This window comes from Homo sapiens, chromosome 6 (assembly GCF_000001405.40).
Source record: "Homo sapiens chromosome 6, GRCh38.p14 Primary Assembly".
NCBI lineage: Eukaryota > Metazoa > Chordata > Mammalia > Primates > Hominidae > Homo > Homo sapiens.
In genome coordinates this window covers 148,954,180-148,978,802 of record NC_000006.12, presented here as the reverse complement: position 1 = coordinate 148,978,802, position 24,623 = coordinate 148,954,180, and the positions used below count along the sequence as shown (strand labels likewise).

The window sequence follows — 24,623 nt, the reverse complement described above, 5'->3', positions numbered from 1 at the left end:
GCAGGTTTGTTACACAGGTATACACGTCCCATGGTGGTTTGCTGCAACTATCAACCTGTCATCTAGGTTTTAAGCCCCGCATGTATTAGGTATTTGTCCTAATGCTCTCCCTCCCCTTTCCCCCCAACCCCTGACAGGCCCCGGTGTGTGATGTTCCCCTCCCTGTGTCCATGTGTTCTCATTGTTCAACTCCCACTTATGAGTGAGAACATGCGGTGTTTGGTTTTCTGTTCTTGTGTTAGTTTGCTGAGGATGATGGTTTCCAGCTTCATCCATGTCCCTGCAAAGGACATGAACTCATTCTTTTTTATGGCTGCATAGTATTCCACGGTATATATGTGCCACATTTTCTTTATCTAGTCTGTCACTGATGGGCATTTGGGTTAGTTCCAAGTCTTTGCTATTATAAACAATGCTGCAATAAACACACATGTGCATGTGTCTTTACAGCCTATGTAAAGACTATATACTATAAAATGTATGTGATGTATAATCCTTTGGGTATATACCCAGTAATGGGATTGCTGGGTCATTTTTATCAACATTATATTTAACACTGTTCTAGAGATACAACAAAAACAAATGGATAAGAGTTATAAAAACTAGAAAAAAGAAAGATAAAATTATCACCTGGGGATATAATTTTATCTGGTAAACTGAAAATAATCTGTGAAAATTTCTTGACAAACATAGAATTCACTTACTAAGGTGACTGAGTTAAAGGTAATATATAGAAATTAGTAACAGTAATAATATGTAAAATTACAACAACAACAAACCAAATATCTAGAAATCAACTTAAGAAATGTGCAAGATCTAAATGAAGAAAACTTTAAAACTCTGGAGAGATATAACAGAAGTTCTGAGCAAATGGAAAGGCAAAATACATTCTCAAATAATAAGACTCCACATACAGACGTCAATCCTCCCTACCTTAATCTAAAGCTCAAAGTAAACCCAACACACAGGGTATTCTGGGTATGAATGTGGGGTGGGGGTAGCGGACGGCTGAACAAGCTGATTTTCTTTTCTTTTTTTTTTTTTTTTTTTTGAGACAGATTCTCACTCTGTCATCCAGGCTGGAGTACAGTGGCGCGATCTTGGCTCACTGCAAGCTCCACCTCCCGAGTTCACACCATTCTCCTGCCTCAGCCTCCCGAGTAGCTGGGACTACTGGCACCCGCCACCTCGTCCGGCTAATTTTTTTGTATCTTTAGTAGAGACGGGGTTTCACCATGTTAGCCAGGATGGGCTCGATCTCCTGACCTCATGATCCGCCCGCCCTGGCCTCCCAAAGTGCCGGGATTACAGGCGTGAGCCACCACGCCCGACCCTGAACAAGCTGATTTTAAAGTTCCTAAGGAAAAATGAACAAAGACAAAGACCTAGGACAATTGGGGAAAAAGCTGAGTAAAGAGGAAAGACTGGACCCTGCCAGATAATAAAATGTATATATAAATAGTCACTCTATATTATATAATTATACTATTGCATATTACATAATAAAACTATGTATTATGTAATTATACAATAGGTTACAACAGTGTGTATATATATAAATATATAGAATAGTGTTCTGTATATAAAGATACACATTAATGGAACAAAATAAAAGCCAAAAGAAAAAACAGATCCCTCTAAAACCAAGAATTTCTCATATAATAAAGGTGATACTTTAATGAGGAAAACACAAATTATTGTATAAATGGGATAGTTTGTTAGCCATCTGGAAAAAAAAGAAACTACATTGATATGTTATACCTGACACCAGAATAAATTTCAGAAGTATTAAAGATTTTAATTTAACATGAATAACAACAAAACTCTAGAAGACACCATGGAGAATATTTTTTATAGTTTCAGAGTTAATAAGATCCTTCTGAGTATAACACAAAACTCAGAAGCCATAAAAAGAAAAAGGTTGATAAATTTGACCACAAAGAAATAAAATTCTGCATGTAAAAAACATCACAAAGAAAGTTAAAAGAGATTACTAACTAGGAAAACAATACTTGCAATTTATATCAAAAATAGTGGGCAAATTTCTGTAATTTTCTGAAAAGTTTCTAGAGATCAGAATGTTAGCAAAATGGGCAATGATAAGATGAGAAAGGAAAATACAAATGCCTCTTAAACATGTGAGAAGATGCTCAACTTCACTCATAACGAGAGAAATGCAACTTATCCTACTGACACATAATTTCTCATCTCTCAGCCTGGCAAAGATAAAAACGTATGATGACATGGTGTGCAGGTGAAGGGCGGAGGAATTGAATGATGCACAAGATGGACCACGCTCCCGGAATCCTGATACCAGAAATACATGGACATGTCCATTCTGATGTACCCTTGACAGCAGAGTATGAATTGGAAATGTGCTGGAGCCAGATAGTAACAGCTTATAAGAGGCAAATGCCCATCTCTTAACTCTGCTGTATTCAGTGATGTCATGTTCGTAGTTTGAAATCACCATGGTGAGAAGTATTGACACCACAGAAATTGGCAAAGTTACAAAACAACCCCCCACCCCCGCCAGAGGTGGTTATTAAACATTTATGAGCATACCACTACTTATAATTTCTGAAGTCTCTGCCAGTTTAATACCTTAAAAGTGACATATTGCTTTAATTTGCAGTTCAAAAATTATAGATGAGGCTGAGCATTTTTTAGATTATCCGGAATTTTACTTGTAATTTTTCAATGGGGAATTAGTCTTTTTTTTACTGATTTATAAGACTTCTTATATCTTAATATCTTTAAGAATAAATTCTTTGTCATATTTGTAAATATTGTCTCCATTCGATTTGCCTGTTAATGTTGCCTATAATGCCTTTTTGTGAAATAAACTGTTAAATTATCTAAAGACAAATCTAAAATTCATTTCTTTTGTGATTTCTTCCATTGCCTATATGCTTTGCCATCCTCTAGCTCAGTCATGTCTCCTTCCACAGGATAGACAACTCACAGCCTCCGTGGCTCAGATACACATCCTTCTGATTTCTCACATTTTACCTTTTTAATCCATCTGAATTTATTTGATGTATGTTGGGTTCCTTAACGGTCTAATTTTTCCTACACTATTTATTCATAAACCTATCTTTTCTCTATTGGTGCATGATGCTTTTTTTCTAACTGAAATTTTATTGAGATAACTGTAAATTCACATGCAGTTGTGAGGCTCTTTGATCAAATAATAATATTATTATTATAATGATGATAGCTAATATTACATTTAAAGATCAGAAAGACATAGGAGTGTTTTAAGCAAGACAATGACAAAGTCAGATACACACTGGACACTTTGATCATGGATTGGAAGAAGATGAACTGGAGACAGGTTGACAGTATCTGGCACATTACAGGTGTTCAGAATATGTTGAAATTGCACGTGCAAGTAGGGAAAAGAGGCAAACATCGTTGGAGCTCCACACATCCTCGCATCTGTTATTGGGTGTTTAACAGGGAGCTGTGACAGGTACTGAGAGACAAGATGATATTCTATTATCAAGTTACATTTTAGTTCAAAACATAAGACTTACAGACATGAAATAATTTGAAGGGTTTAAAAAGCAATGTATGAGAATGTAAAAAAGAAATACCTGAGTAATAGTTACCAAGAGAAATAAAGATGAGCGGTCATCAAGACTGGTCTCGGCTAATTTTATTGCCTTGGTTTAGGACCCTTGTCTTAATCTCACAGGGTTTTTATTAATAGTGATAAGACATAGAATGCCATCGATTATACCTGACATTTATCATCAAAGTTTCCTTTTTAGTTGTTGAACTTGATAACTTTGTCTTATACATCTGCTGACTCTTTCTACAAGTCTTATCCAAGTGGTTAATTACAAAACCCGGAAGTGAGTGAATAATGCTCTGCAGAGGGTAACGGGACAGCAGTCTTACTATAAAAGTCAAACCAGTGTTATTTCACCTCTAATGCAAAGGGAGATGCATATGCAAACTTTTAGCTGAATGTTGATACAATTCCATTGTGTTTTTACTTTGTAATATGAAATGCAGAGCCATTTTTTAGGAGCCAATGCCTTACCCATTAGGCGGCTGGGGCTTCTTGCAGATCGGTGTTTTAAAAGCTTTGCTTGTCATGAAATTGAGTAAGCTTTGGTTAAAATTCTTTCATTCAACTGTGAATATCTGCATGGGTTTAGGATCAGAGAAAAAGCGGTTTGTTCTAGAGGCTGTGTGATTTTGTAGCCAGTTAAGACCCCACCTGTTCCATTTATTCCTGGCTGCTTTCCCAGAAAGAACATGGGATGAAATCAAACTTCTTATGAAATTTCTGCCAAACCACTTCTACTGGTATCATTTCTACTCTGTCTGAAACACTCATTGGTCAATCAGAAAAGGGAACAAACGTTGTTTGTTACATGTGCTTAGCAAATCTCAATGACTATAAACCAGACCATCACAATGTCCAGGCTAGATTATTTATTGTATAACTTGTTCGGGTATTTTTTTTTTTAATATTATAAGGCAAGTTTGAACTTTCAACTGCATTTCAGGAGATTAGGCATCTATAATACCTGTTTCTATCCAAGCTTATTCTGAAGCTCCAAGATACTTAGCATGGCCTTGGCTCCCCACCTACCCACCTCCTTTTAATAATAAGCTCATGCTAACATCGACATCATGCCCCATGCTTTGGGAAGAAGCCCTCAATATGGTGACAAATGGTCAGACATTCCCTCTTCTTAGTTTCCATCCTCCTTATAGTCAAAAGTATTTTAGTCCTGTCCTTCAACTTCCAGCCATTAGAGGGCAAGGCTGCCGCAGCTAACAAATCCTGAGTCTTGTTTTGAGAAGCCTGAGTGAAGCAAGTATTTTTCCAATTACACACTATCTAATTCAATTTACATTTATTAGAAAAACTGCCAGCTATTTCATGTTAATATTGACATTTTCATAAGTACTCGCAATTAGAATTCAAGCTGAGATTCCAACAAATCTCTTAGATGTTTTACACTTACTTTTCCTGTCTTCAGACTTTGCAAAATATTTTGAAGAACACGTTTGGAGATCATTCAGCCTTTGGGGAATTTATACTGTGTATGTAAAACAGCTGGGTAGGGAAAAAAATATTACAAATGGCAAAGCAATTGAGGACAACTATAGAGGCATGCCAACTTCTGCAAAAATAAGTGTGGGGTATAAAATTCAAAATGTTAACAAAGTTAAATGGAGCCATTAGTTTTTTACTTTATATAAAACTTCATCCCATCGCTTCTTTCAATAGCAAGACCTCTGACTGCATTCAGAGAACATTTCCTGACTGCATTTAAAATGTAGTTCTACTCACCCACATCTTTTAATTTAGCATTTACATGTCTTTGTATGAATTGGCCTGCATTTAAAGAATGTCACATGTCTCTTTGAAGAGATGGCAATGGACTCCAAGTGCCTCGTCAACCTAAATAAAAAGATGTCCAGATGCTAAAATATTTTATTCATCAAAGTGCTCATTCTGTTTTACTGTTTAAAGCATGGCTTCCTAAAGTGAGATCTGAAATGTATACTATAATGCACACCTTGGTTTCTGGATAAGAAATATTATTTACTTCAACTTTAGAAGAAAGTCTGACTTAAGACATTTATAGAATATTCATAAATACAACACATAATATTGCACTATATCATCAAACCTCTTTAATGACATTTATTTGCATATGCCAATGAAAAGCCTAACAAATAAAAATGTCTAAGGGGAAGAAGGCAAATGCAGGTTTTTCCAAATGGGCAGAGGATAAGAAGGTAAGCTTCCATAAGGCATTCAGGGGGTGCTTCTCTCAGTGAAAACAGCTCCTGCTAATACAGTCAGGAACGGATACGTTGTTAATTCCTCAGTAGTTCTCAACCTCAGCTACACATTGGCCTCACTTCTGAAGCTTAAAAAAAAAAAAAATCCCAAAGCCCAGGCTGCACCCTAGACCTATTAAACCAGAACTTTCGGGTGTGGGACCCAGGAATCAGTAGTTTTTAAAGCCTCCACAAGTGGCCAAGGCTGAGAACCACCGCCTTAATAAATGTTAGCCACCTGCCCCAGTAGGGGTGCAGCGCTGAGCGCCAGCGGCGGGACACAGCTGCAGCAGCTCCGCTGACTCACAGCGAGGGGCGGGGCTCACAGCAGATGAGCTCAGCTGACAGGTGGCCGGCGGATGCACCTGGCTGTGCTCTGGCGGCCCTTGCGGTGCGTGCTCCTGATGGGACCTTGCATGGAGACAGCAGGTCAGGCAAACCTGCCTTGGCAGCCATCAGAGCAGCGTTGCTTCCCCCACAACTGGGACATCTGGAGAAACACTTTACTGTACCCAAGCTCCTCACCTCCCTAAGCCCTCCGCTCCTGCCAAATAGGCGGTTCACCAGAGTGAGCCTCTTGCTCTCAGGCTTTTACACACTTTCTAAAGTGTCACTTCACTTGGAACAGTCCCCTCCTGCTGTCCCCAGAGCCTTACTTCTGCTGCATCTTCTTCTACCCCTAAAGACAGCACCCACCTCTCCTCTGTCCGCCTCTCCTTTTCTGGGAAGCCGCTCCCAACAACCCCAACTCTTGCTGATTTCGTTCCTCCCCGCAATTTTCAGATTGCTAATTTAACACATCCCAGCCAATGACAAGTCCTATATGGCTGCACTGAGCTATTATTAATATCTCCTTCTTGGTATTAAGCTTTTCAAGTTTGGGTCTTCTGTTGCTAACTAGGCGGCAAGCAACTGGAAGCACAGCAATGAGTCTTCAATGTCTTTGTAATTGCTCCCTCATTGCTGCCCCTGACCCCACCTGGAGCTGCTCTTTGCACATGGTTGATGTCCCATAAAAACTTCCTCCTTGGTTTATCTTGCACTTGGATCACTGCAGTAGCCTCTGATCTATCTAGCTGGTCTATCCACATCGACTTGAAGCCCTTCTGTACTCTGTATGTTGTAGCCAAAGTGATTCCTCCCACAAAATGTAAAAGATTCAGGATGTCCTGTAAACATGCCTCTTTTGCTTTAAGTCCTTTAGTGCCTCCCCAGGGATCTTTAAGATGGTCTGGGAGGCTCTGTGGGGCCCACCACCTGCCTGCCCACATCACTGCACCCAGCTCTTTCCTTTCTTCCTCAGCTCGCCCTGCTGCAGCTTCCCTGGTTCTTCCTCCGTGCTGTGTTCCCTTCTGCCACAGGGCTTTGTATGTGCCCTATGCCTGGGTGTTCTTCCTTCTCCTCTTTCCCTTCAGATATAGCTCAACCAACACTTCTCTGACTTCCAGACTTGCCAACTGCCCCATTCAATGCCTGGACAGCGCCATGTCTCTGCATTGTAGGATGCAGCCTACATCCTACATGTAGGATGTGATGCAGCCACTATTTCACATACATCTGTATGGTTTTGGGATGAATGCCTGTCTCCCTGGCAGTCTGTGAGCTCCATGAGGACTGACAGTGTCCATTTTAGCTCAACATTTTATTTCCAGTTCCTACAATAGCTCCTACTACACAGAAAGTACTAAATCAATGTTTATTGAGTGAATGAACGAATGACGGATGGATTGGTGGATGAGTCACTAGTAGAAGAAAAAAAAAAATGTATGACTGGCCACTTAGTTTTGCAGACTAGGGCCAGGAAAGCCATGGTTTGGTGCCACTGCATAGTAGAATGCACAGTGGTGAGCACTTATAAGTGGCATAGCCAAGTGTCAGAATGCCTGTCACACCCATGTCCCCTCCACAGTCCCCTCTCCCCCCTGCTAAGTTATCCTTGATGACACTGTGGTAGGCAAAATAATGGACGTCGAAGGTGTCCCTATCCTAATCCCTGGGACCTGTGAATATGTTACCTTGTATGGCAAAAAGGACTCTGCAAATGTGAGTACGGTTACAGACCTTGAGAGGGGACACTATGCCGGATTATCGGGGTGAGCCCAATCTAATGACATAAGTCCTTAAAAGTGGAGAGCCCTTTCCAGCTGGGCTAGAGAAATGAGATGGTAGAAGGAGAGGTGTGAAGCATAAGAGGGGCTCAACCCACCGTTGGTGTCTTTGAAGATGGCTGAAGAGAACTGAGAACCCCTGGGCAGCCTGGGCACTGACACTTGGGTGCTGGAAGTGGCTCTAGGTCTCAACAACTTCTGGTTTCCGTGTGGCTTAGCTGTGCTGTGGTTCATGTGCTTCCCATGGGGCCTGGCTCTGCCTGGCATTCGTTTCCTAGCCTTCACTGGCCTGCAATCCTTTTGTCTTCATTCCCACAGTTCTCCTGCCCCGTGGCTCCTGATACAGAGGTAACCTGGGTGACTCGTAAGCCCCTTGTAACTAAGGTAGCCTCATGCAAGTTCCCCTTATTTGTGGTTTGATCTTCACCACCACTCAGCCTCTCTGGGATCGCCATCCTGGTTCATAAGAGGGGAATGAGGAGTGCTCATACCTACGCCAGGAGAGGCTGTGAGGGCGGACACCCTAACATGAGGCAAAGCATGCTAACCTGCTACACACTACACACATGGCTGCCGTTTGGTGGTAGCACAGGTGGCAGGGGGTAGCATTCTATTCTAGCTCCAAAATCCCTTTGTTGGTCCCTCCTCTCCTCCCTTGCCCCCTCCTTCACCCATCTTGTTTTCTGTTTGCCTGAAACTCCCAGGGATACCCTCAGGTCTTGCTAACCCCCAGAAGTGGCCTTTGGTCCTAAAATCACCTGTGACTCCTGCTTTAGATACACCCAGGACAAATGTATTTCGCAGCGTATCTCTGAAGCTGGGGCTTCCTGGTCCTCCATGCTCCTGGATGGCTTGCATCAGCCTGGCGGAGCATTCGGCTCTGGCGTGCCTTTCTCGTTACTCCTCGGAGAGGGAGAGTGCGCGTGTATATGACTTTCCAACCCAGGGCCTACAGGAGCTTAGGTTTCCAAGTAAATAAACACAAGACAAATGTATGCCAGCGGGCTGGGATCAAAACACATCTCCAGCTGTTGGGAACACAAAGAGAAGTAGTTTCCTTAGAAACAGGTTCCCGGGGGAAGGAATCTAGTGAGGCAATTTGAGACCACAGCAGAAGCAGACCTGAGGGTTCAGGACCCAGTATGTCCTGAGCCCCAGGAAAACAGCAGCCTCTATGGACTCCCTGAGCAGAGGAGCTCCAGGTCTGGAGGAAAAATGGCCCCTTTAGGTCATGTGGAGCCAGTAACGGAGCCAAGGGGGTGGGAGCATCAATACTGAAATGTGTTTTGGAGAGTTTTAGCTTCCAAAGCACTTCTGTGTAGAATGCTCAATAGACTCTCCCAACAACCCTGTAATGCAGGCAAAGTAGGTAATATGGTCCCATTGTACAGATGAGACAAGCAAGGTTCACAGAGGCTAAATCCAAGTCACCCAGCTAAGGCAGCTGAGAAGGGAATATAAATACACCTTATCTTGGGCCCCTGGCTCAGCCTACAATTGGAAGCTAAATTTGAACTAGTTGAAGACCAAGAGCGTAACTTTCTTACCGTCACGTATTTGGAAAACATAGATATTTACTGAAACACTTAAAAAGCAGACAATCCAAAGCCCTTCTTCATTTTATTTATTTAAGAAAAACAATGCCTTAGAAATAGAGGCAATGCCTGAGGTTTCTTTTGCTCAAAGGACAGTCTCAGCTGGTTGGGACAGAGTGGAAATTTCCACATGCTGGTATTTCATATGTATACTTTCAAAGTTAAAGGACATTCAGAGTCCAAAACTTTCAAGTAGATTAAAATGCATAGCTTTCTAAAAACCTTTGCTGACTCTGGCCAATTTTCAGACTTCTCCAGAATCCAACAGGGCCAACATGATTCACTGAATTCTTTATGAATTAAGAAGCTGTAAATTACACATCTTTTCTTTTAAACATGCATTACTTTCCACATTTTACAGCCAAGCCGAATAAACAGTGTCACAGAGGCAGTGTTCTCTCTGGGAAGATTTTCTCCCTTTTCTTCCTATTCTTCAAATGGAGGATGGCCTAGTGAAGTGGCAATAATGGTTAGGGCAGCAGCCCAATTTGACATTTTTGAGAACTTGATGTGTAACCAGCAGGGTGAAAATGACAGCATAAGAAATCCACTTTCATGGAAGCTCCAAGACTGGAAAAGGGAGTGGCTTCAGCAGGAATAAGATGCTCTCCCTCATCTGGAGATGACAACAGTTGCTCTTCATTAGAAAAAGCTTTCCACCATTCATTAAATATGGTCTGTGTGCCAGGTATTTCCCTACCCTGGAAATAAAGGAGGCTGGACATGAGCTGGATTAGAGTCTCAGGTGCTGGGATGTGTCCAAGTGTGCCTGGGTTCAGAGGACTCCCACCCCCAAAAAGGAGGCAGCCACCTCCACACTGGGGAGCTTCCAGCTCTGGACAAAAAGAAATGAGCCTAAGACAACTGCCTTTTCACAGTATGGCTGCTAGAAGTTGAACTTGCATCTATGCGAGCACTAATTTATTTAAAAATGATTTTCCAGGAAATGCAAAGGAAGAAGAGTTTGGAAAGAAATAGAAAGTTTGAGAAAAGCTAGTTGTTCCCAGAAAATAAGGTATAGCTATAAGATGCTTGAATATTTGAAAACAAATTGCTGTAACAGCGATGTCTTTGTAAAGATGGAGAGACGATGTTACATCAAATGATTCTGCTTCAAAAGCGTGGGACTCGGCCCAGTCCTCTTCTCCCTTTACCCTTCAGGAACATAAGGTCTGAGTGGGCAAACAGCACCGAAGTGGAATCAGGAGGTCTGGATTCTCCTCCTGGCAGGGACTTTACCCCACCCCGAATCCCAGGCCCGTTCCCACACCTGTAAAATGAGAGAGTCCTCATCCTCTTTGGGGTTCCTGCAAATCCTAGGATTCCTTTACCCTTTCCATTTTCTTCCAAACCACCCTGCCTCACAAGATGATATTATTTCATCCTCAGAGCAGGCTTGGAGGCAGGCACTGGCCACTCCCAGCTGTATGCTAAGCAGCTCTGTGAGGCTCAGGGCCAGGGGCAGAACTGCCCGAATTTTGGCAATGGGATAAAGCAAGGGGCTTTAGAGCACTGAGATCTGGAATGACGTGGTAAATCAGCAGACTCATTTCAGGCCAGCAACCAAGACCCTGTGGGCATGCGGTGTGCAGGGAAGGGCCTCCGAGGGGAGGGGTGGCCGGCAAGGAGGGGACAGTGGGCTCCTCACAGCTGCCTGCGCCCCGCTGAGACACAAACAACACCCTCTTTTGAGTCAAACAACTGACTACCCAGCCTTTGCCAAAATGAGGACAGACTCTTCTGAAAGGGGGCAATTTTATTTCAAGGGTCTAATGGGACCAAGGAGATGGAATTAAAAGTTTCAGCTATTAAAAAAAGGCAATAGACCATCTTCTTCCAAATAAACAAACTATCCTTTGAACAAGAAGACAGCCTTCTAACCAGGTCAGGCTGGAACCAGATCATGAAGGGGACACCCCTCCCCCCCACCACCAGGCTCTCCTCTCTTGAATCTGAGCCCCCCCGAGTTTCTGCTGTGCTGCTTTGGGGAGCCCAGTGCTTTCCTGCTGGGGCCTTGCCAAGGATCGATCTGATGACCTCATCTGACATAGACCCTTCCCGAACACAGTGCTTACATTTGGAAAGGAGCCCCTACAAATTTCTAAGGGCAGAATTCCAGGCAGGGAAATCTCTCTACAATCTCTCAAGTCACATAACAAAGGCAGTTACCAGCTCTTCAAAAATATAACACTTGCCCCAACTACCAACTTTCAATATTTTATGACCTTTTTAAAAAAACTCCAAACCAGGCTGGGCACGGTGGCTCACACCTGTAATCTCAGCACTTTGGGAGGCTGAGGTGGGTGGATCATTTTAGGTCAGGAGTTCGAGACCAGCCTGGCCAACATGGTGAAACCCCCGCCTCTACTAAAAATACAAAAATTAACCAGGCGTGGTGGGAAGCACCTGTAGTCCTAGCTGCTGGGGAGGCTGAAGCAGGAGAATCGCTTGAACCCCGGAGGTGGAGGTTGCAGTGAGCAGAGATCTTGCCACTGCGCTCCAGCCTGGGCAACAGAGCAAGACTGTGTCTCAAAACAAAAACAAAAACGAACAAATGGAAACTCCAAACCATAATTTTTTCCCCTCACATTTGCCACCTTTCTCTCTAATGATTGCAGCTTATTATTTGTGTGAGTGTGTGAAAACTGCATTATATGAAATGATTTACAGGATGGCAACAGAAGCTTGACAGAACGGAAGAAGCTAGAGCATTCCTCTTAACTCTTACATTAATATTTGAAGAGTAGTGTTCATAAGACGTGTTTCTGTATTGTTGGTTTTTTGGCATTTTCTGCTGTCCTTTGGTTCTAACTTTCTTAGCATGAGGATTGAATCAGAACTATGAAAAAATTGTCTGGATTAAATGGAATGTATGCTGTTTTTAAAGAGCATATAGATATATTAATCAAGATCCAAAACAAATAATAAAGATAATTAGAGAAGACATTATTCTTGTAGTGTTTCTATACTCTGAATACACGTCTCACCAAATAAAAAACATATAGTCATATTCATAACCTATAGTTTTTTATTTTATTTAATTATTATTATTATTATTTTTTGAGATGGAGTCTCGGTCTGGCACCTAGGCTGGAGTGCAGTAGCACGATCTTGGCTCACTGCAACCTCTGCCTCCCGGATTCAAAGGATTCTCCTGCCTCAGCCTCCCAATTCGCTGGGATCACAGGCATGCGCCACCATGCTCGGCTAATTTTTGTATTTTTAATAAAGACAGGTTTTCACCATGTTGGCCAGGCTGGTCTCGATCTCCTGGCCTCAAGTGATGCACCTGCCTCGGCCTCCCAAAGTGCTGGGATTACAGGCGTGAGCCACTGCGCCCGGCCTCATAACCTATAAAGAAATAGATTAGGGTTTCGCCATAAAAACTAAAAAAAAAAAAAAAAAAAAAGGGAAAAGCCACTTTTAAAATATATCATCAAAGGAAGAAAATAAAAATAAAAATAAAATCATCAAAATATTTCACTGAAGCCTTAGGTAGTTGATCAAATACCGAAGGTGAGTGGAAAGCCGTGGGTCTGGTGTAGTCGTCTGGCCCTGGCTGAGACACTAACTTCTCTGTATCTCAGTTTTCTCTACTCTAATCATGGATTTGAAAACATGAACGTGACACTGAGGGGACATCATCCCCAAATGCTCCCAGCCTCTGAACATCCACTTCCATTATGTTTTTAAAATGAGATGAGGAAGCAGCCGTCCTGGCCGTGGCCCTGAGATTCGGTGCTTTTCTCCAGCGGCAAGGCTGCTGCTGACGGCACATCAGCAGTGGCCTCAGCTCTGGGCGATCTTCCAGCTTTGGGAACAACACCTCTGACTGATCCTCAACACTTCCTACTTTCCTGCTTGTGCCCGACAACAGCCCAGGATGGGTCCGGGTGAACCCCAAGGGCTCTCTCAGACACAGAGACCAGGATTTCAGCCTCCTGGGCACCAGGCTGTCAGCTCCTCAGTACATGTTTCTCAACACAGGGATGGGAAATGTACCTTTCGTTCTAGTGCTGAAAGAAAGACGCGCAACTCCGCCCTCCGTTTTTGTTACCAACCTCTGTGCTGCGGAAATAATTACTGGGCTCGAGACTAACATCCCTTATGGAGCTGAGGGTCCCAAAACAAGTCCAGAGAAAGCAAACAATTACTGGTGCAATGACAGGGTTCTATCGCGCTGTGGTGGAAAGAACCCAGACTGTGAAGGCAGGAAACCCGAAACAGTCGGTCGCAGTTGCGCCCTTACCTGAGAGGTGACTGTGGCAAATCCCACAACCTTTAGAATCTCAGGGTCCTCATCTGAAAACACCTCCCCCTCCCAGAGTGGTCATGGGAACTGAATGGGCTGAGGGATGAGAAGGGGCTCTGCCGCCCTCTAACAGACACCCCCCCAACACCTTTGTTCTTCTTAAGCACTACAGTGCTAGTCAGGACTCCTTAGGAAAGACTGTTAACGCTCTGGGTCCCAAAACCTAGCACTAAAGACAACTGAGCAAAGCAAAATCAGAAAATAATTTGAGGAAATGTTCATTAGGATCTGGGTCACCCGGAACCAGTTTCTCTCGCCAAGACCTCCTTCCTGCGGAAGCACCCTCTCTGCGCCACGCTCCATGGAGGCGCCAAGGAGAAGGCCTGGGAAGGGAAGAGTGAACCTTCCCTGGTGGAGGGCCCACTCCTCAGGCAGTGGGGAGACCGCCTTTTGCATGCGACAGGACTTACCAGGTAGCGCTCCTCCTGCCTCATGCTGGGGGTGCGGATCATGTGATTTTGTTCCCCTCTCCAGTCTCCAAAGCGACGGAAAAAATAGTTGGATAAGAACCGGTTGACGGGGTCTCTAATGATGTTGATGTAGACAGGCTGGTCTCCTCCAAACCTAACACAAACATTGAGTTCGTTACAACCCATCACTGCAGGACGAAAACAGGGCCTACTTAGACAACATCTCCCCTTCCCTCTAGGTTAACTTATTGAAAGATGACCTCCTATGCTAAGGTGCCAATGACACGTAATAAGCAAACGGTGTTTCCTGATAAGCATTTTATTATCATGCAGGAAGTGGGGAGGATGATACCTGTTCCAGGTACCTGTTGAGGGGCTGTGAGGACATTTCATAGTATAGCACGGTACAAACCACACCATTGTGCATGTTAAGGAAGAGATGGTGTCTAGTTTTCTCACCAGGCTGTAGGTTTCTTGAGGATGGGGGCCACTCTGTATTGGATTTAGTATTTCCAATGGCTAGAACAGAACCCACAGGGACACAATTGGCCCTCGGTGAATGTTTCAGTTGATTGGTAGGTTCTGACTGCCTTGCTGGGTGAGACGGCACTTCCTCTATATTGTAATTCAAACAGTTCCGGGTCAGGTGCTCTGCAGTAAGGGAGTGAATAACAGCCAGTCTTCACTGAGCACTCGCTATTCACCTTGTTCTAAATACCTCATGTAACCAGCTTGCTGAAGCCCCATAACACGTCAATGGAGTAGAAAAAATAATTATCCTCATTTACACTTGGGGAAACTGAGGCAGGAATAAGGTTCATAACTTGTAGCTGAACTAGGATATGGGTCCAGGCAATCTGGCTCTAGAATCTATGCTCTTAATTATGGAAAAGTGATTTCTGGAGTTGAGGAAATTTTGTGTGGGATATCAAGAATGAAACAAAATTCAACATAATTATCCTCAAGTGATGGCAAGTGGCTTCAGATAAAAATAAAGCAAATAGCCAGGTGTTCCATTTTAATTCCTTCCATGAAAGGATTAGATGAATCCACTAAATCTTGGCCCAAGAACAAGGTCTTCCCGAAGCAGAGTGATGAGATTGGCTGGATTTCTCTTAATGATTCCTTCTTTTTCTCTTTGAACTGCTTGAAAGCAGTAGCCTTGAGGAGTTCGGGGAGAGTGCCCCAGTCTCTGGGCAGAGGGCATGCTCTGGTGACCTCCTGAGGGGCCTGCAGGGTTCTCTAGCCCTATGGCCTCGTGACCTTCTGAGGAATGTGCCTGGACATTCTGTCAGGGGTCAGAAAGAACTAAGAGAAAACAAACTGACAGGACCCCGCTCCTGCCTCTCCCCAGCTGGCAGACTCCATTCACCTTTCAAAACCCAGCCTGGAGTCACATCACATCCCTCAGCAATTAATGCCCAACCCAGGGTCCATGCCTCCCTCCTCTGTGCCCTGGGCCCTCTCTCTTGCACTGTGTGGAAATGTGTGCCTCTCCCATCAGACTGTGGGCCTCCTGCAGCCAGGAACGACACGCTCTAGCTCAGTGTGTGGCACACAGTAGGTGCTCAACAAATGATGACCAAATGAAGAAATGAACATCTGAGTGTGTGCCTCTCAGTTGTTAACGTTTCTTCCCATATCATGGGGCTCTGTTGTCAGAGGAAAGTAATAACAAGCCCCCATCCTTTTCTGTGTATGAATTCATATAATGTTGTTCCTGGTTTATCTGCATTTTTAAAAAGAATCTTCAGAGAGAAGAATCCAAAGGAACAACTCTGAGATAGTGGAATTTCAGGCACCAGGACATATGAATGACACCCTGGAGCCCTTAAATACTACCACATTGGAACACACACTGCTCATGGGTGAGATTAGCCTTGCAATGCGAATCTTGTTAGTTCTCAGAAATACACATTCATGTAACTGGATGAACAACTAACTGGAGTCCCAGGAGTTAGCTGTGCCAACCACCAGCTAACTACTGTACACACCCCAGATTTATCCCCCTTTTAAAATTAAATTGGGTTTCATATCTATGATAAACAGCAACTAAAGTAATAAAGCTAGGGACTAGGAAGACAAGGCTTGCATACCAAATATGCACCTAATTAGACCCTCAAAATTGCTTCATGCTTTTAAAAACCTCAACTGTTCTTTTATGTTCATGTGAAGAATGACTGCTAGTGCTAGTTAGCAGAAATGCCCAATCATGTGAATCCATGCACAGCATCCCATCAGGAGATGGCTCTCAGCCTCACCACTGCCATCTTTGATCAATGGCGAGAGAAGTAAGGACTGGGAAGTCTTGATGAGCATGGATGACTTGCTCTTGTTTGCACGTTGCAATCCAATGCAAGACTTCCAGAATAATTTTCCAAAATGGAAGTTTTAGATGGCTTAAGAATGTATTGTCAAGTATCAGATAATATAGTAGGCTCTCTCTAGAAGTTTCTAACTATGACAAACAGGTGTCTTGTATATATCTTCCCCTTTGCAGAAGGCAATAATGGTTGCCGGCTGCCAACCCTCTGTACACACAGCTTCCGCCAAATTGGGAAAATCTGGGGTGACACGTCCGTTATACAGAAGAGGCCAGAATACCACCATGCTACCATCAGGGACCAGAGCATAGCACATGTCCTAGTGCCTGAGTAGGGAAGCAATTTCCCTACCCTCATTCCATCTTCTTTCAGCATCAGTTTCTCCTCTAAGTAATTTAAAACTCTGGTCAGAATTTCTGGCTACTATTTATAAAGTCCCTGGGTCACCTGAACCTTTTGCTCACTCATGATTTCATTTTGGGGCTGAGAATGGTTTGTACCCTACCATCCCATACAGTGATTTTTAAAAGCCTTGAGAGAAGATTCCACAACCTCCCTGTGAAGTCCACTGTATCAGTTGAAAAGTCTTTCTTATACTCAGCCAATATTTAACATTTTCCTTTTATGCACATTTCCTTTTGTTTGAACCATTTGACACAAAGGATTTGCATCTCCTATGCTTTTACAATGCTTAGCCTTTTCAACTTCAATTTTAATTCTTTTAACTTTTTGTTGTTTCTTTCAAACATTCCTTTGGCTTTTATCTTAAGACTTATTTCCCTTCATTTTATAATCTAAAGCTCTAATTTGATCTTTATGGAGCGCTAAAAAATTGTGGTGACTACGGCTGATCACAGGTTCTAAGTAGTGCATACACTAGAGAGTAGAAGAGTCAGGCCATATTTTGTTTTTTGTTCAACAACATACCCTTTTGTCCTTCAGTCACCACAATTACTCCTGCATCTTTGAAGCTCTCTTTTAAGTCATCCTAAAATAGCAGGCATTACCAATTTCTTCGACATTTGTTGACAGATCCTATTCCCCGACTCTGTAAGCACTCCTCTGGGCTTCCTTTGGACTCTGCCACTGTGTCGTATTTTTTAAATTTTTACTCATTTTTTTTGATGAGAAGATGAAGCTCTGCAGCAGGGAATAATTTTCTAGAAAGCATAACTGCATGTTTCTCACTCTGAGAGGCATTTCCGAACACCTCATTCTGAGCATTTTCATCAGCATTGGTCCCACACTGCTACCTCAATCAATTAATCAACCCATCGATAATATTAGTCACCTCTTCCACAGCTACACAAAGCACTAGGGTAAAAATCTTAGGTATATTTTCATCAAAATTTGAAAGGCATTCTTCCTGAGGTAATAATTATTGCACATATTAAATCAATACTTAAGACCAGAATTATCCCGGAGAATTAAGACTGTTTTGTACTCCAATTATAGTAGAGATTACTGTGATTGGAATCAGTTTTTGAAAGTATATCCTGTTCTTCTAAGAAATTCTAGTAAAATGTATATATTTGCCCTTTTCATCATTTTCAAGTGTACAATTCAGTGGTATCAAAACATTCACATTGTTGTGAAGTCATCATTATCACCCGTCTCCAAAACGTTTTCACGTTCACAAATGGAAACTCTGCCCATTCAACAAAAAAATCCCTTTTCCTGCTTTCCCCACCCCTGGTAACCACCATTCTGCCAAAAGCCTACCTCCTTTTTAGCCTCTGGCCTGGAAGCAGAGGTTATCTTTGTGCCACTATCTACATTAAAGGGTGAAAAGTACCATAGGCCAGAGGCCCAGGGCTTTGACCCTTGATCAGTGAGGGAGGAAGACAGTTTGAAGTGAGAGAAAGGCCATCATGGAAAAGAACAGGACCTTTTGGGGGCAGAGTGAGGAGTGGCTGAGGCGGAGAGGGGTAGAGCTGGCTGTTTATTTTTGAGACGGAGTTTCGCTCTTGTTGCCCAGGCTGGAGTGCAATGGCGTGATCTCGGCTTACTGCAACATCTGCCTCCTGGGTTCAAGCGATTCTCCTGCCACAGTCTCCCAAGTAGTTGGGATTACAGGCGCCCATCACCATGCCCATCTAATTTTTGTATTTTTAGTAGAGATGGGGTTTCGCCGTGTTGGCCAGGCTGGTCTCGAACTCCTGACCTCAAGTGATCCGCCTGCCTCGGCCTCCCAAAGTGCTGGGATTACAGGTGTCAGTCACTGCGCCCAGCCAAGCTGGCTGTTAAAGGGCCCTTTGCTGGAGCCCGTCACAGTAACAAGAGTCCCTGAAGGTCCAGTGGGGGCCAGCATGGTGGGGAGGTCTGGCTTCTGTCCTCACACCCCCTGCAGTGGGCACTTCCATCTCCTCTGCCCAGGACTAGACTCCCCTCCGCCCACCATCCATCACAAAACACAAGCAGAAGAGACAGCTGTGCTCTGCTCTCCGGTCTGTCCCAAGGCAGGAGAGATGGAAACATTTGCTGTGAGAAGCTGAGACAAATGGGGAAGGAGGTGGGTATTTGGGTCAGGGCTCCCACTCACAGAGGAAGATGAATTGACAAGGCATGAAATAAACAGTAAGGAATAATCAGGAAATGAGGGAAAGTCCAGATTATACTCATCCCTGATGGGCCAACACAGCTGGTGGCCCATGCAGCGGCAGAGATCCACTCCCCATAGAGGGAAAAGCAGAAACATGAGGAAGAAAGTGCCAATTTAGGAAGACGAGTCCAGCCAGGGTTCACAAAGGCAAAACCCAGAGAAAACTCGCACTTGTAAATGGAACTTCTGCGCTGTATTTAAGGAGGCAGAGACGGTGTTAACTGCTAATACCGATTTTTACTTTGGTGCTTTCTTCAGAGTTTGCAGTGTCTGTCAAAAGATAAGAGATTTGAAGGGCACAGAATTGAATTGGTCACTTGGCTAAGAAGAATAAAAAAGTCAACATTTACAAATAAGATGTGAAAACCAAATTGACTTGTGGAATTAGCGAAGTCTGATTTGTTTTGTTAAATAATGCCATCAGAGGGCAGAGTTTGTTCACAAAAGTTGATAGAAGAAACACTGTTCACATCAGTAATTGAGACTTCACTTGTAGGGAAGAGAAAAGGTGTCCAAAATGCACCCCCTTGCACATCACACCCCACTGCTTTTCTGGTGATTGACTAATTTTCACACTGTTTGTTTGTTTTTGCAAGTTACTATTGGCACCGGAACCACCATCTGAGATACAGGAGAAGACAGAAATGGAAGCAAAGGAAGGTGAGGGGGTCATGGCAGAGAAAGGAAGAATGATGTGAAAAAAGGATAAGGGAAGTGGTGGTTTGAAATTATTTAGCATATTGGTGTCTCTCATAATGCATTTGGACTATTTTGACAGCATCGGGTTCTGAGGCAAAGCTTCTTAAGGGTTTCCCTGCAAAAGCACATTTGGAAGGGTGAGGGGCATTGTAGATTGCAAAAATATTTATACGCCCCCCAAAAAATACAAGCTTAGAAAACAAACAAAATTGGGGGCAGGGGACAGACAAATTTGAATTGTAGTCTGTTGCAAGGCTTTCTAGTGTGTGGATCTAAGATAGATTTGGAGGGATGCTGTTGATGTTGGAAAGTTGATCTTTTTCAGAAACTGCTTCTTAAAGTTAACTCTGAAAACTGAAAAAAGATACCTGAAACCATAGTATGCAAATATTAAAAATCCTACTTAAACATCCTAACAAAGAGAAGCACCTTTTAGGCCAAGGTAGTTTTAACTCAATTCTCCAGATAGTCCAGGTGAAAAACATTTGCCTGGCTTGAATTTCTAGGGAGTTCCACAACTGTGTGCAACAGCAACCCAGTGTGCAAGTCAGGAATCCCCACTGAAGCCTGAGATCTCTGCTGAGAGCTCGCTGTGCATAAGTCCCCGGGCAGGAAACCTTCCCTGAGGCAAAACACCTGATGGTCTGAACCAATTACTTCCCATCTCTGGATTAATAAAACTAGATATGGTTCCTTCTAACTCTAAAAAAGGAAAAAGAAGAAACAGGACAAGAAGCCTAGAAGGTGAAAAAAAACGAAGTAGGTCAGCTAGAGAAACACCAAGTGCTCACGGGATCGCATTGTACATGACTCAAGACTGTCTAAATTTCAAGGTAAAAATGCCATCTTTAATGGAATAAAAAAAGAAAGGGCAATTAGCTATGGTATAATGCCTTACCCTTCAAAAGTTCTGACCATTTGTGTGCAAAAAAAGTGTGGGGAGGGAGGCCTGACTTTCATCCTTACAGTCTGCTTGCCAGCAAGTACCGTGCGGCATGTTAACGATGTGTGGAGGATTGGAAATATCAACAATAATATTAGGTTGCAGTGTCAGTTCTTCTCATGGGAACCTCATTATCCTGAAACAAGCAATAGGTCTGTCAGCAGCTATAAGGGTAGGTTTCTTAAGATCAGCTTCATTATCTTTATAACTTATCAGTCAAAATACATCTAAAAGTTATTTTTTAAAGTATGTTAATGTCCTTGGCTTTGCATGGTGGCTCACGCCTGTAATCCCAGCACTTGGGAGGCTGAGGTGGGCAAATCACTTGAGGCCATGAGTTTTGAGGCCAGCCTGGCCAACATGGTGAAACCCTGTCTCCACTAAAAATAGAAAAATTAGCCAGGTGTGGTGGTGCATGCCTGTAATTCCAGCTACTCGGGAGGCTGAGGCAGGAGAATCGCTTGAACTGAGGTTACAGTGAGCTGAGATTGCACCGCTGCACTCCAGCCTGGGCGACAGAGTAAGACTCCATCTCAAAAAAAAGTAATGTCAAAGGCCTCTTAAGAAGTTCCAGCTTAGTTGTTTTTCTCTGTCAATTGCATATTGACAGAGAAATTTTCCTTAGATAAAGCTACTCCCTTAAACAATGAAAAGCTGATTTTTTAATGTCCCATGTTCTATGAGTGGAACAATCATAATCTTGTCATATATTAAAGTTCAACTGATCATTCTCTTCATTTTTATGGAAGGCTGGTAGCTAAGGGCCCAGGCCCTGGTATGTGGGTGTGAAGAGAGGAAGAGGTTGCTCCTGGGGAGTCAGTTCTGGCTTTTTATTGAAAGCAGCAAAGCTGGTCAGGCAGTCTCTTGTTATTTCTGCTTAAAACTCTTGACTGCTGTTCCAGTCCAGTCATGTCCATCCTGGGTTGCACTGCATCCCTTTCAGTTCCTCTTGGCCCTGCTCTTCTGCTGGTCGCTGTGCTGGGAATGCTCTCCCCCTTCACTTGTCTAAAGCTGACCCATCCCTCACCTCCCCGAAGAAACACCTTCCCAGAGTCCTCATCCCACAGGGAAGTTCCTGCTTCCCACCTCCGCTAGGGGAAGCCCTGTGACCACCCTCTCCTTACATCTGTTACACTTTAATGGAAGAAGAACTTAGAGTCTCCCAAAGGCAAGGAAAACATTTAATGTTGACTGCAGAAGTCCCAGTTCTCATGTAGTGTATAGAAGAGAGAAGGTAATCCATAGACATGTGTTTAATTGAGTAAAATAGAACTGAGGGAGGAGAAGCAGAGCCCAGCCCTGTCCTCAAGGTGTTTCCATAGAAACCGAGTCAGGAGCTGGGCAGTGGGCTCAGCCTGAGACGTCTACAGAATTGCCTTTTTAACTGCCACTCTGAATGTATACAGCATCTGATATGTTTTGGCTCCGTGTCCCCACCCAAATCTTATCTTGAATTGTACATCTGTAATTCCCATGTATTGTGGGAGGGACCTGATGGGAGATAATTTGAATCATGGGGTGGTTTCCCCCATACTGTTCTCGTGGTAGCGAATAAGTCTCACAAGATATGATGGTTTTATCAGGGATTTCCGCTTTTGCATCTTCCTCATTTCTCTTGCCGCCACCATGTAAGAAGTGCCTTTCGACTCCTGCCATGATTCTGAGGCCTCCCCAGCCACGTGGAACTGTAAGTCCAATTAAACCTATTTTTCTTCCCAGTCTTGGATATCAGCAGCATGAAAACGGACCAATACAGCATCCTTCTCTCAGAAGGCCTTTCCTTCACAGGTTCAGAGCATCCCTATATGGTAGGGATGACTGAGAACTGTCCTTGTTTTACAGATGGAAAAATAGAAAACAGAGACCCCCAAGAGGTTGAACAGCTTGCCGAGAATCATGACCAGTTGGGAGGCCAGTTCTGACACCAGAGGTCCTGACGGCCAGGCCAGCACTGTTTTCTGTAGACATGGTATCTTCTAAAAGGCATTTATCATTTTTTTTCCTTTCAGAATTAAATGAAGACTAAACTCCTGTACACGTGTTTGTTGGTAGAGGCCATCACAGAATATGGCCACCATACTGTGATCTGCCAACCCAATTAAGATACTGGCCATGGCTTCTAATTTGTGTTTTACACTGTTCAGACATAAATATTTAAAATTTGTTGCATTGCAATCTGTTTGGTTGTAAAGATTTGACCTATGAAGCAAGAAGTGTTCATGAATGAGGTTTAAGGATGTCAGGGGTGACTCAGAAGGAAACGCGCTAGAACAGCAAGGATCAGGGAAGCAGCGCTTTTCTCTTTGCAAGTCATAAAATACAATGCCTGAAAGAGCTAATAAGCCTTGTTATCTAATCATGTCTAATAATATGCATGTGGCCTTCTGGAATTAAGAGGCAGGGCACACACCCTGGATAATCCAGTAACAAGCCATTTTATAAATGTGGTTGAAAACACAGTCCTAGCTGCCCAGCACCTGGCCCTGGATTACTGTGGAAAATTTGCAGGAGTCCTGTTACCATCCCAGGAACTCTGGTTATCAGGAAGGCCCAGGAAACTTCAGGGAACACTTGCTTTTAAAGATAAGGCAGCAGCTCCTTTTCTCTGCTTAATAACTTGCTTTACTGAATCTCATTCTTTGCACTTAACTTGCACAGGACCTGCTGCATAGCAGGGAAGTCCTTGGATGGCTGAAATCTTCTTCCAGCCAGGTGGGTTGTCAGGCACCCTGGACCAGAGCAGCAGCTCCTCCAGACCCAGCTCCCTTGGTGCCTGGCCTGCAGGAGCCACTGGGTCAGCACTAACTAGCAGATGTTGCCTGCTGCCCTGGGTCCTTTGGTGCTCTCGTGTGGACCTGCAAGGAACTGTCAACCCCATGTTAAGATGACAGAAGTGCCCGTCAGAGGGCTGACAAGGGAGGCCCGGAGGTTCCCAGGCTGGTCTCCAGCAGATCTGCCTCTGGATCCAGTGATCTGTCAGCTATTAGATAGCAGCTGTGTATGCAGACTTGAGCCAGCACAGGGAGAGCAAAACACTGAGGGCCATCAGCAAAGGAGTGAGGCACAGTGACAATCAACCTATGCTAATGAAAGACTGGGGAAGAGAACACTCAGAACCTGAAGCTAGTAATTTAACAAATAGGGAATCTAAAAACCTGAATTTGAAGATTTGCATTGTTATCAGAAGACCACAGCTGCTGGAAACAAAAACCAGAATTTTAAATACCTCCCCAGCATCAAACACGTGAGGCTTAGAAAATCAAATGGTTTACAGTCACGCATTGCTTAATGTCAGGGGTACATTCTGAGAAATGCATCATTAGGTGATTTCGTGGTTGTGCAAGCATCATAGAGTACATACACAAACCTCGATGGCACGGCCTACTGCGTAACTATGCTGTAGAGTACAGCCTGTTGCTTCTGGGCTACAAACCTGGACAGCATGTGACTATACTGAATACTGGAGGCAACTGTGACACAATAATAATCATTTGTGTATCTAAACATAGAAAAGATATGGTAAAAATACCATATTATAATCTTATGGATTAATGTATATATGAGGTCTGTCATTGACCAAAATGTCGTGATGTGGCACACGATTGTATTAAAAAGACAGACAGAGGCTGGTACTTTGGATCCTAGAAAATACTCATTACTCTAGCACTAAATTATTTCTAGAGTTCTGTGCAGGTTCAAATTGTACAAAAATGTGCAATAAAATATTTATGCTAAAATACCCATCTCCTGCCTTCTTATTTGTTTCAATACAAAATCTGATTCCTTTTTAAAAAAGAGCTATTAGGTCAAATGGCT

General features: G+C 43.4%; 1 protein-coding gene and 1 long non-coding RNA gene across 8 annotated transcripts in view, besides 5 other annotated features; one reads left to right on the top strand and one right to left on the bottom strand.

The window, feature by feature from the left end:
- Positions 1–24,623, bottom strand: part of UST (uronyl 2-sulfotransferase) — a 329,961-nt gene that overhangs the window by 98,188 nt on the left and 207,150 nt on the right. For 6 of the 7 annotated variants that reach the window (XR_001743088.3, XR_007059195.1, NM_005715.3 and 3 more), the window contains exon 5: positions 14,240–14,393. Coding sequence is in view for 5 of the 7 variants with exons in the window: in NM_005715.3 (NP_005706.1) it covers positions 14,240–14,393 (154 nt within the window). In the remaining 2 variants the exon portion in view is untranslated. The other variant, XM_017010152.2, reaches the window with a different exon arrangement.
- Positions 5,633–6,631: an enhancer, noted in NCBI's record as "H3K27ac-H3K4me1 hESC enhancer chr6:149293308-149294306 (GRCh37/hg19 assembly coordinates)". NCBI's record gives its function as "activates a minimal SCP1, AML or CMV promoter by ChIP-STARR-seq in naive H9 embryonic stem cells {active_cell/tissue: H9 hESC(naive)}" and the evidence as "EXISTENCE:reporter gene assay evidence [ECO:0000049][PMID:30033119]".
- Positions 8,022–8,612: an enhancer, noted in NCBI's record as "H3K27ac hESC enhancer chr6:149291327-149291917 (GRCh37/hg19 assembly coordinates)". NCBI's record gives its function as "activates a minimal SCP1, AML or CMV promoter by ChIP-STARR-seq in naive H9 embryonic stem cells {active_cell/tissue: H9 hESC(naive)}" and the evidence as "EXISTENCE:reporter gene assay evidence [ECO:0000049][PMID:30033119]".
- Positions 8,613–9,203: an enhancer, noted in NCBI's record as "H3K27ac hESC enhancer chr6:149290736-149291326 (GRCh37/hg19 assembly coordinates)". NCBI's record gives its function as "activates a minimal SCP1, AML or CMV promoter by ChIP-STARR-seq in naive and primed H9 embryonic stem cells {active_cell/tissue: H9 hESC(naive and primed)}" and the evidence as "EXISTENCE:reporter gene assay evidence [ECO:0000049][PMID:30033119]".
- Positions 14,078–14,654: an enhancer, noted in NCBI's record as "H3K27ac-H3K4me1 hESC enhancer chr6:149285285-149285861 (GRCh37/hg19 assembly coordinates)". NCBI's record gives its function as "activates a minimal SCP1, AML or CMV promoter by ChIP-STARR-seq in naive H9 embryonic stem cells {active_cell/tissue: H9 hESC(naive)}" and the evidence as "EXISTENCE:reporter gene assay evidence [ECO:0000049][PMID:30033119]".
- On the top strand, positions 14,119–24,544 carry UST-AS1 (UST antisense RNA 1). The gene is made up of 3 exons (NR_038408.1): positions 14,119–14,242; positions 19,762–19,825; positions 22,650–24,544. It is a non-coding gene; the product is annotated as a UST antisense RNA 1 (long non-coding RNA).
- Positions 14,655–15,231: an enhancer, noted in NCBI's record as "H3K4me1 hESC enhancer chr6:149284708-149285284 (GRCh37/hg19 assembly coordinates)". NCBI's record gives its function as "activates a minimal SCP1, AML or CMV promoter by ChIP-STARR-seq in naive H9 embryonic stem cells {active_cell/tissue: H9 hESC(naive)}" and the evidence as "EXISTENCE:reporter gene assay evidence [ECO:0000049][PMID:30033119]".